Below are 12378 nucleotides of genomic sequence, written 5' to 3'. Positions count from 1 at the left end.
AGGCTGAGAAACTCTGCTTTAGACAGAATTTCCAGCAGTCACTCTGATGGCAGCTCTTCTGCTGCCTTTAGAGGAATCTGGCATCTCTAATACCTGAGCTTTTCCAAAGTGCTAAAGCATGAATCATCTGGCTTTCCCTGGTACCTCTCTGTTCAGGCACTTATGTTCCAATTATCCTTCATCCATCAGTTTTCCACCTTCCAAAGTACTTTTTTAGGATCTCTGGTCCGCTGTTTCTCCATTCTCCTTGTTTTTATAAGATTAAACTTGTTTTATTCCTTTACTGTCTTTTTAGTTGGGTTTTGAGAGAGAGCCAAAGTAAACATGTGTTCAATCTGTCACGTTTAACCAGAAGTCTACAGCCTTCCTAAAACTCCTCAAGTACTGCTTTCTCACTTTCCTTTTACAACCCAGTGTCATGAACTACAGGTTCTTCCTGTGTTTGTTATATAAATACTCTGAGGGTCACAGGACCCAGTGAATTGTCATATAAGGGAGATGGAGTAGGTGTGTTTGATCCTCTGAAACTATGTTTGCATTACTAACAGAAATAGCAATTGATGGGCACAGAAAGTGGGAATGCTTAGCCTCAAGAGCTGCAAGGGCTCTTAGAGATCATCTAGACCAGTGTTTTCTCCTTCAATCATATCACTTACCATCCTAGCCATAACTATTTGCCTCTTGTACAAATAATAGTAGAGTCATGCATTGCATAATGATGTTTTGGTCAACGACAGGCACATATATGATGGTGGTTCCATAAGATTATAATGGAGCTGAAAATGTCTATTGCCTCATGACATCATAGCCATTCTAATGTTTAGTGCAATGCATTACCTTTTCTATCTTCAGATATGTTTAAATACACTAATACTTACTATTTTGTTACAATTGCCTACAGTATTCAGTACAGTAACATGCTGTGCAAGTTTGTAGCCCAGGAGCAATAGGCCATTCCATATAGCCTAGGTGTGTAGTAGGCTATTCCTTCTAAGTTTATGTAAATACAGTCTATGATGTTCACACAACAACAAAATCACCTAACAATGCAGTTCTCAGAATGTATCCATTGTTAAGTGACATGTGACTGTATTCATTAGACATACTTTTAAAACTTAGATTTCATTTATTTTAAAAGAAAACATTGTATTATTTTTGTAAATGGAATAGCAGGATCACTTGCCATAATTAGTAGTGACCTTAACATCAAATGCCGCGGGAGGTGAGGGGAGTGATTTTTAAATTCCAGCTAGATACTGCTGCCTGCCAAAGGGTCTGAGCCTGAGGTTTGCTCTGTTAAAAAAGGAAAATCAGTGAGGGATTAGAAAGGTGTTGAAGACTGCTTCTCAACCTTTTGGCTAAGATCAAGGATAGAAAGGTGTTAAGGACATACCAGCATAAAATTGAAGCTTTCTCCATGATATAATGCAAGAAAAGTACTGAACATAAATTGAAGAAAAGGATTAACATGTCATTACGTGAGTCAATATTATGGAATGTTCACAAATCCCAGATCAGCAGTGTCAGGCTGTTTCTTTGGGAAGCCCAGGCCTAGTCCAAACCTACTTATTCCTCAGCTGATAGGTTGAGCTTGTTAACTATAGGACTGGTACACAGTTCCAGGTCTTCAGACCCCACAGTCTGTTTTCTCTCCACACGCCTCCAATTTCCTACAGAAGCAGAAATGTTAATGAGACAAAACTGAAAGAACTGAGTGACAAAATACAAAATCAGAAAAAGTGAGGCTGTTCTCTTTCCTCTCTTTCGATCTAATAAGCAGTAACACATAAGGAATGTTAAATTTATGTCAATGTGTCAGGGTAGTTTTCTTTTTTCCCCCTTCCTTTGGATCAATTTTCAGTTAAGGATTGTTTTTCTTTTGAAAATATGTTTTAGCTACTCTTTTACAACACTATCCACACTTTACAGAAAGGAAGCTTATTAAAAGTTAAAAAGGAACACAGAAAATAGCACCTACATTGCAACTGAACAAAAGAATGCATATGGTGGGAAAACTGAGAATTCTGCCTTTATTAATTAAATGACAGTATAACAGGTTCTGTTTTCATATATATTTTTAACGATACAGATTTAGAAATAGATATTGAACAGTCGTGGTGCTGAACATATAAATCATATTTTGACTTGGAGTTTCAAGAAAAATAAAGAGGGGAAGGCATGTATCAGGCATAATTAATTCAACTCACTGAATTTACAATAGAGATTTTCACAAAGAAACAAAACCAAGGAAACAAAGTAATTCCCCCAAATTCCTGGGATCTTTTATTTCTCCAGTATTTATTTTTGGATGCATTTCAAAGCCTGCTTACATTTCCACGACTAAACTAATTTTTGCTAATTAGGATGTCCCATAATACGGAAAGCTGGGTAGCCTAACAATTATTAAATCCACTTTTTTAAGGAATGCAAGCGGGTTTTCTTGTTTGTTTGTTTTTTAATGAAGTGGGATTCATCTAAATCTACTACCTACTATGTATTTTACATGTCTTGTTTTATTTGCTATTCACATCAACCCTAAGAGATAAGGTACTGAATATGTTAGTCAAGGTACTTATGCCTCCTGGGTCTCCTTTTATCTGAACACATGGAGTTCACTCTGGCCAGAAAAGCAAGGCTATTCCGCTCTTTGCACAGAAGTGCCCCCTGACTTAACCTAAGAAAGCCTTCTCAGTCAATGGTCAGCAACCTGCTAGAAACGGCTTTTCCAACTGGGTTGATAATAATGACCTAATGAAATCAGACTATCTTCTTCTGCAAACTGACATTCAGAAAACAGAGCTTCACTAGACACACAGAAATGGAAATGCTGTGAGAGAGAAATCTTTTGGGTTATAGAGAGTTGTGGAGAGATCGGTGCCTTGATTCTGAACAGCCTCCCACTTCCAGGCTAAGCTGCCTGTATCCTTGCAGTAATTCTCCTCTGTAGAGTTGTCTAAGGGAATTCTGTTGCCTGACTGAAAACAGTAGGTATTAGTGTACCCATTTTATAAATGTGGATGCTGAGGCTATGAGGTAGTCTATAAATATCACTTGTATAATTCAAATTTAGACCTGCCTTTGTCCCAACCTTGTATTCTATCCACTATTCCATGCTACTCTTAGATTAGTCATCTGAGGCCCAGACCCTCTTATCTCAATCCCAGGATCTCACACAAGTATGGACATGTTCAGAAGAAGTGAAAAGAGACCTCTGTCAGCCCTACCTTCAAAATACATTCCCTCATCCTCCTACTTCTTTTTTTTTTTTTCTGACTCCCTCAGTTCAGACATGGCCCCATCACCTTGTGCTAGAAATTGATGAAACTTACTGGCCTCTGAGCTCTAACTTATGGCCCTATCCAACCTCCTTTCCATAGAGCAGCAAGAGCGATGTTTTTTTTTTTAAATTTTCAGTTCGTCCCATTCATGTTTTGCTTCAAGATGGTGAACCCCTTAAGCTACCTGCTATCCTCTGCCTCCTAAGTCCCATCAGGCTTAGACAACGTAGAATGAAACACATTTTTTCAAATGTTGAGAATAGGAATGGGGAGGTGTATCTATGGTAGAGACTTCGATAACTTTCTGGAGGAGTATAAAGGAGTTGGAGTCATGTTAACTGATAAACCAGGGAAAAGGGAGACCCAAGGCGGAAAGGTTGCAAGGAAAGCGGAGTCTCTTCTTTGCATGCAGCCCCTGAGTGCATCTGGGACAGAAAGTGCCTGGTCAGTCATCCTGTCAAGGACAGAATCCAGGGAGAAGCTGGTGCTAACCAGTCTGCATACAGTGCTCTCTGGGGTCAGATGCTCAGCACAGTCCTTCATTTATAAACATGGAAGATGACCAAGGACCACCGGACAGCTGAGCTAACCCAACTGCAGGAAGGTGACCATTCACAACAAATTACCTAAGAGGCAAGAATGAATCTGGGGAAGAGAAGATAACTGTTAAAACTTCTTATGAGTATCCTTAGAAAGAGAGAATATATTTCACCTATAAAGCAAGAACAGGCCACCATGAAAAAGAATCAGCTAAAGGACAAGAAAGAATTCATGGAAAGAAAAAAAAATGTATGCTTGCCAACAAATTTGTTTATTAAAGAACTACTGAAAAACATTAAGGAGCTTCTCTAAACATGGAACAAGAACAACAAAAAAGATATGAGAATAAGATAAGGAGGAAAATATGAGACACAAAAGTCAATCCAGAAAGGGCAACATCTATCAAAAGAAAGAACAGAGAAATGGAGGAGGAATAACATAAAAATAATAAGAAAATCTTTCCCATAACTGGTGAGATACAAGTTTTCTGAATGAAAGGCTTCACTGAGCATCAATAAGAAAGAAGGAAAAGGTTCACACATCAGTTCATTTTTGTCAATTTCAGAACATTAAAAAAAATCCTAAGAAAAGGGTAAATACTTTCAAATAAAGATATAAACACATAATATACACAAGTAGATAATTAGACAAATAGATATTATACTTGCAAACAGAAATATGAAGGCATGCATGCATACATTTGTGTGTATTTGTGCACTCACAAGAAAACAGGAATCAGATTCACAACATACTTCGCAGCAACATTCAGTCCTGAGCACAACAGAATGGTGTCTTCAAAATTGTGACTTCAATATTTTTCGTATCTTGTCTCAACAACCCCACATAACAACCCTATGAGAAATTGCCCAGGATATAAAAAGCTAACTCCCAGAGCAAAGTAGCCTGTATCTCTAATCACAATGACTATCGGAAATCTCACCCAACGCACCCTTTCTGTGTAGGTGCCTATCCATTACAAATACAATTGAAAAAAATTCAGAGCTGGATTAGAAAATTTGGTTACCCATTTCTGTAAAATAGAAGCAGATGAGAAATTGAAAGTGATAAACAGAGACAGGCCAGACAGGGGATGCGTATGTGGGGTAAGTAAGACTAAAATTGCTCTATGCAAAGAAGGAGACCAAAGCCAAGCTCCTTTCTTGAAGCCCAGGCTGGTGTAGGGGTGTCCTATGCATAAGAGCTGAAAAAAAAGTGCTATTGACCACCACCTGGAGCTTTTTGCCATTAGTAAGCTACAAGACTCTGAAGGCAGTAAGGCACAGGTATTTTTCACAAACAGGATCTGACACCAGCCCCTCCCTTGCTCCTTGAATGATTCTCCAGTGCTCTCAATATCACCTTAAAAAGGGAGACCTGAAATACCATGATAAGACCCTGGTCTAAACTGAGAATCTAAGAATCCAAGAAGGAGCCACTGGTAATGCTAGATAGAAAGGGATGTGGACAGAGGGAGAAAGAGGAAGAAAAAAAACAAACAAACATAGGAACCAAAAATCCCAAATTCAAACTGAGCCTGCACACTTAAATTCAAAAACCAATAAAAATCTAAGAGTCTACAAAATCAATAGTCAGTCATCAAAATATGAGTTCACTCTGAATGAAATTAATCTTATAATCTTCCAAGAGTTTAAAGTAAGAATGTTTAGAATGCCAAAGCAGAAATTTTAAAAAGACAAAGCCGAAATTTTAAAAATATTGGAAATAACAATATTAAAATAAGCATAAGAGATGAGATAAGCTTTAGATTAGACACAGTTTAAAGAATTAAAAGAGAAAATGAAAGAATATTAACAGATAAAAAGATGCTCAACCTCACTATCAGATATTTGCAAATTAAAACAATGGGGGTCAGGCACGGTGGCTCACGCCTGTAATCCCAGCACTATGGGAGGCTGAGGCAGGTGGATCACTTGAGGCCAGGAGTTTGAGACCAGCACAGCCAACATGGCAAAACCCCATCTCTACTAAAAATACAAAAATTAGCTGGGCGTGGTGGTGCACACCTGTAATCCCAGCTACTGGGAAGGCTGAGGCACGAGAATTGCTTGAACCCCAGAGGCAGAGGTTGCAGTGAACCGAGATCATGCCATTGCCCTCCAGCCTGGGTGACAGAGGGAGACTCTGCCTCAAAAAAAAAATAATAACAATAAAATAAAATAAAATAATAAAATAAAATAGTGGATATTCCTTCACATCAATTTGGTTAGCAAACATTTTGAAGTCTTCAAATACTAAATGAGGATGAAGATGTGACTATAAATGGAAATCTCATATACGGCAGAAGAGTATAAATTGGCACCACCTCATTAGTAAATATTTAGCAAGATCCAGTTAAGAGGAAGATGCATATGCCTTATAAACTAGCAATTCCACTACTTAGTATCCTAAAGGGAATTTCACACATTTATACAGGAGATATTCAGAAGGTCTATTGCAGCATTGTTTGTGGTAACTGAAAACTGAAAACAACTTTAATATACATCAACATAGGGCTGAATTTAGATATAGCCATACTGTTGAATACTTTGTATTACTTACCTAAAAATAGAAAGAACTAGAGTTATCCATGTGTCCGCATGAATATATTGCAAAAACTCTGTAGAAATGTGCAGTATGATACTATTTATATAAATTTGTGAAATGTGCAAACTAATTCTATATATTGTTTAAGACATGTATGTGTAGTAATACTGTAATTAAACGTGTAGTAATACTATAATTAAATGTATAGTAATACTAAAATTATGGAAAGGAGTAAAAACACCAAATTCAGCATGGCAATTCCATCTGGGAAGGCAGAGAGGAGAATGAGATTAGAGTGAGTTACACGGGAAATTAATAATATCTATAGTGGTTTAAAAATTATGGAACATTTCATACAAATACAGAAAGTAGAAAGAATGATAAAATGTACCCCCATGTACCTAACACCCATCTTCAATAATTATCACTTTGCCAGTCTTATTTCATCCACTTTTTCTCCACACATATCCACTGATTTTTCTGGAATTTTTAACACAGATATCAGACATCATGCTATTTTACCGTAAATACTTCAGTGGGCATCTTTAACAAATGTGGTCATTTAAAAAACATAATCACTGTATTATTATTATATGTACCAAAATTATTATTTTTATTATTATTATACTTTAAGTTTTAGGGTACATGTGCACAACGTGCAGGTTAGTTACATATGTATACATGTGCCATGTTGGTGTGCTGCACCCATTAACTCATCATTTAGCATTAGGTATATCTCCTAATGCTATCCCTCCCCCCTCTCCCCACCCCACAACAGTCCCTGGTGTGTGATGTTCCCCTTCCTGTATCCATGTGTTCTCATTGTTCAATTCCCACCTATGAGTGAGAACATGTGGTGTTTGGTTTTTTGTCCGTGCGATAGTTTGCTGAGAATGATGATTTTGGATGAAGCTGGAAACCAAAATTATTAATACTTCATGTGGTAAACTAAATAAAGGAGACACACACACACACACACAAACACACATACACACACAAACACACACACACACAAACGCACACACACGAGGTCCAAACAGACTCAGTTCCAAACTAAGGCCCATTTCCAGCTTGGCCAATTCCAAGCCAGCTGCCCTCGGGAAAGTTATTTAAACTCTAAGATCCCTTGTGTCTTTTGAAGGATTGAAATGATGACTTAGAGAGTTAAGGCCTGTGAAGTAGTGGGCAGATGCAATGGGCTGCAGGTGAGCTGGTTTCCCTTCCAGGAATTCTAGCAGCAAGATGAATGTTACTCAGCTAGCTTCATGACTCAGCAGGATGAAACTCTCTAAAGTGTGTACAAGCTCAAGGTGTTGCCAGCTCAGAGAGATGAGATGTCTATCATAGAGAAACCCAGCAGTTTGAAGAAGACGGTAGGACTTGATCCAGGGTTTACCAAGTTTGGGCTATGAGGGTTGAGAGAAAGCAGAGATGAAGCCATTCCAGACTGAAGAAGACAAGGGGGAGGAGGCAGGCAGCAAGGAGGATAGTCCCAATGGTGAGGAGGTTTACAAAGAGCAATATCAAGCTCTTAACAATATTACGTATCAAGCGAGCACAAACGCAGCTCAAAACACTTTGCTCAACCACAGAAAAAGAGGTGAGGGTGAATGCTCACAGCCATGCCATAAGAAGCCCTTTATTAACCATTCCTTCATTCATTAGGCAAGTTTTAGCACCTACCATGTGCCATTATGAACGTCCCCTTCTCAGCTGCTACCACTTCTACAAAGACCTTTGGGCCCGGGTTTGCCTTGTGTTTTGGAATTCTGTAGTTTAAAATAAGATAATAAATCTTGTACAAGCAAAATTCGTAAGTCCCAGGCAATGGCATCATGACAGAGTGCAGAGTAGATTCAGGCTGCTGCCAGGAGCCGTTTCACAATTCCTGCTCTGAACCTTTCGTCAATCCCCACCATTTCCATTTAATTTGGAGACCTGCACAGAATGTCCCACACAGAATTATTTGTTGTCTTATTCACCTTCATCTCCGACTTTCTGTTTGACCCTTACATCAGCATATATTACGCAGTCTCATACCCTTCATGGTTTTCCATTTCAGGGAACCAACTCCAGTGAAGCCACTCCTGGGTCATGTGCCCCCAGAAATTGGGTGGACAGACAGAGGAAGGAGGAATTGTTTCACCATGTTAATTGCCTGTTTCCTTCCTCCTTGCAGGCTGTTGCTTAGAAGAGTTATAGGGAATGGTGTTCTCAGTGAGCACTGAGAACCAGAACCAGAAACCCCCTGTGTATTTGAAAGAGAACAACATGTAATCCGGGAAACTGACTTATCAGATCACTGAGGGGCTGGTGGAGTGAGCCCTAAGCTGGGCTTGATGACCCCCAGAGCACTGCAGACCTGACCCACCAGGGAAGCCGCCTTTTCTGCCCCAATCAGGAGATTGCCCCCAGAGCTGCAGAACATTCTGCAGTCACTGAGATCCAGCGATAGGAAGTCACTGCCTCCACCACTGAAGCTCCCCAAGTTCTACGATGCTGAGGAAGAGTTGCACGTCCCTGGGCCATGTTTGCCGGCAGAAAGCAGCCAATCTGCCCCATTTCCACCTTCCAAAACTCTCACAAATGCCAGCAATCAGTAGAGCTAATTCCCAAGCTGACCCCTCCTCTCAGCCATGAAAAAGAGCTTCTCTAAGGGAGGCCAGAGGAGCCAGCCCTGCAAACATGGGCACCTGCAATAGCCATGCCTCTATTAGAATGGTGCCTGCTCATTTTCTGTCTGAAGGAGTAACAGCCCCTTCTTAATCTTCATGGATCTCTTCCAGTGCTCTGCACAGCCTCCTTATTCGCCCTAGTGATTAATCTTTTTAACTCCTTTAACATTTACTGGGAACTGAGACTTGATCAGACATTGGGCTACCTCTGGAGGAGATGCAAGGAGAAATTAGGATCACTCTCAGACTAGTCAGGGAGGCAGATATGTTAACAAAACCTACAGTGAAATGTGATGAGTGTATAAAGAGTATATCTGGGGCTGGGGAGGGGTGGGGGAGGATAGGAGAGGCTCCCAGACTGCCAGGGGAGGTGTGGAGCGCTTCTCAGAAGGGATTCCCTTGGTTGCCCTCTCAGCAGCTTTCCACAGTTCACCATGTCCTCCTCTCCTTGAACCCTTACTCTTCTTGGCTTGTGGCACACTTCTCTTCCCTGACCCCCTCTCTCCCTGTTCCTTCCTCTACTCAAGCTCTCTAGGTGGAGGCTCTTCCTTCTTGGCCTACGTGAATCACCATGTAATTGCATTCATTGCCATGGTTTTAAAGGTCCGCTATGTGCTGACGATGTCCACACCTGTTTCCTGAATTCACACAGCCAGCTCCCTGCTTAGCATCTCCCCTTGAAGATCTCAGGAAAATCTGAAACTCAACATGTTCAAGGCAGAACTCCTGATCTCACCCTCATGTAAAATCTGTCCCAACCTAGGTTCCTCCATGTCAATAGTGGTGTAACCATCCACCTGCCCTTTGTCCTAAACATCCAACACATCAGCAAGTCCTGCCGTATCAAGTTCCTGCATTTATCTCTAATCTTTGTGGCCACTACCTAGGTTTAGGCCATTATCACCTCTGGCCTGGATTGTGCAATAGCTTCCTATCTAGTCACCCTACCTCCACTCCTGTCTCTCCCAATCCATTCTCACAGAGCAATGAATGTGATCCTTTCATAATGAGAACTGCTTCGTATCAATTATCTGCCTAAACCTTCTAATGGCTTTCCAATGCATTTAGAATAAAACTCAAATTCCTTCCTTTTTGACCTGTGTCCATCTCCCCAAACTCTTCTCCTGCCGTGAGACTAGGTGGTAGCAGGGAAGTTGCTTCACACCAGGATGGGGCACATGGCAGTGCTGAGAGAACTTATGAGCCAGAAGAGGCTCGAGGTCAGGATGGAGGCAGGCACATGGCCACCTGAGCAATGGCAAGATCCGTGCTCCCCAGCAGTGGTGCCAGCAGCACACCCACACCAGACAGACTCAGGCACATGATCCCCACGTGACCTCTCATGGGAGGCCAAGGGAGACCCCCACCTCTCAGAGGACAGGCACACTAACTCCTGTACCCCAGAACCATGGAAGAAGCAGGCAGGAGAGTCTCAAAGGAAAGACAAGTACTGATGGGCAGTTTGAACTTGGAATTGATTGAACATTTATTAAAAATGGATCCCACTATTTTAAGACAGCTTTTCTTTAGTAAAAATGCTCTTTTTCTTTTCTTTCTCTTTCTCTTTAACTCCATCGCTTGGAATGCAGGCCCCAGAACAAAGTGAAGGCAGTAAGTTTTAACAGTTCCGTATTTTGTGCACACCTTATTTTATATCTTATTTATACCTTATTTATATTAGCAGATATAAATATAGGCATGGATACAAATTGAAAAGAAACTAAGCTAAATGTTAACAATAGTCATACCTGGGATGTGAGAGTAAATATTTTTATTTTCTTGTTTATATTTTGTCTTTTCCGATTTTTTCTACAATAAGCATATATGAAATAGAATCAGAATAAAATAGTTACTATTTTTGGTGAGTTTTGGCGAGTCTTCTGTGAAGACTGGTTCTGGAGGCACGACTGAGAGCTGTTCCCGGCCCTCCCTTTCCCCACGTCTGCCGTGGAGCACCGCTCTCATTGTGCTGTCATTCATTGGCTTCCTTGTGAGGCCGTAAGCCCTTCAGAACAGAGAGGATCTTTTCGTCTAAATATCCTCAGTATCAGCATAAGACACAAACCACTGGACATTTCATAATTGTTTGTTGAATGAAAAATTAACATTCCACCATGAGAGATTCATTCTTTTGGCTTCACACATTGTGTTTTAAGGACACTTTTGCTCAATGGCCAATTTCTGAGAGAATAAATCCTTTGTCAATAGTTACTATTCAGTAAATCTGAATTCAATATCCATCATAGATTTACTGAACATGGCCTAGAAAAATGAGACAGTAGACAGTAAATTTAGATTGTCAAGGAAGAGGTAGAGACAGGGTCATGGGCCAGTAGGCCCCATGAAATGACACAACACGGGAGACTACAGGTCCGGCACTAAGGTTAGGAGAGGGAGGCACTTGCCTCAGGTACAAAACTTCAGTGGGCTCAAGACTTAGCAATCAAGATAAATCCATATTTTAAGGCAATATTTTTAAAATCTAAATTTATGCAAAAAAATCCATGGTGAGCAAAATATCAAAATTGTTAAAATAAATTCACTCTTACTAATTTTTCCTTTTGCCTCAGGCTCCAATGTGACTTGGTATAGCACTGTTACTGATCTCATCTTTACTTAAAATCTTGGTATTTTGTTCATCCTGGATATTTTGCATTAAATTGTTGTTGTGTTTAACATTGTGTTGAAATATTTATCTCAGTGCTGAGTTTCAGGCACCACCTTAAATTCTGCCTTGAGGCCAGTCTTCATTTTCTTGACCCTAGTCCCAACCCTGGGTGATTGCCAGCCATGGTGGGGAGTATGATAACAGGTCCACATCTAGGGCACGAAACGTGTTCTTGGCTGGGCCTAACACCAAGTTTCTTAGTCTTCCCAGAAACAGAGTGGTTAACAACAGAAATTTATTTTCTCACAGTGGTGGAGTCTAGAAGTCTGAGATCAGGGCACCAGCCTGGCCGAGTTCTGGTAAGTGCTCTCTTCCTGGTTTATGGAGGGTGACCTTCTCATTGTATCCTCTTGTAGCAAAGAAAGAGCAAGCAAGCTCTCTGGTATCCCTTCTTAAAGGGGTACTAATCCCATCAACAGGGCTCTACTCTCAAGATCTCGTCTAACCCTGGTAACCTTCCAAAGGCCCCACCTCTAGATTCCATTACCTTGCGGGTGAGGGTTCAATTGATTTGGGTTGAATTTGGATGGAAATGGAAAAGCTTGGTTCATAACACCAAGGGTGAGCATCGCCTCTGACAATAGTGCCCATAACAACAGGGAGGCTGATAATATTAATAGTGTCTTATTTGAAGCACTTCCCAGGTTTACTCCCCTTATCTCACCTGATGTTC

At 40.5% G+C, this 12378-nt stretch overlaps 1 long non-coding RNA gene across 2 annotated transcripts, besides 1 other annotated feature; it reads right to left on the bottom strand.

The window, feature by feature from the left end:
- Positions 1-917: 917 nt before the first annotated feature.
- LOC105370847 (uncharacterized) lies at positions 918-8295 on the bottom strand. 2 transcript variants are annotated; one of them, XR_932332.2, is made up of 3 exons: positions 8046-8295; positions 1394-1670; positions 918-1293 (listed from the first exon to the last, which is right to left on the bottom strand). It is a non-coding gene; the product is annotated as an uncharacterized LOC105370847 (long non-coding RNA). The 2 variants fall into 2 exon arrangements; XR_932333.2 differs by having other exon boundaries at positions 918-1439; positions 1567-1670.
- Positions 7349-7549: a silencer, noted in NCBI's record as "peak2363 fragment used in MPRA reporter construct". NCBI's record gives its function as "represses an SCP1 promoter by STARR-seq MPRAs in K562 erythroleukemia cells {active_cell/tissue: K562}" and the evidence as "EXISTENCE:reporter gene assay evidence [ECO:0000049][PMID:32103011]".
- Positions 8296-12378: the final 4083 nt, after the last annotated feature.

Source organism: Homo sapiens, chromosome 15 (genome assembly GCF_000001405.40).
Source record: "Homo sapiens chromosome 15, GRCh38.p14 Primary Assembly".
Lineage (NCBI taxonomy): Eukaryota > Metazoa > Chordata > Mammalia > Primates > Hominidae > Homo > Homo sapiens.
The sequence above is the reverse complement of the archived record's forward strand: the minus strand, read 5'-3'. Positions and strand labels throughout refer to the sequence as shown.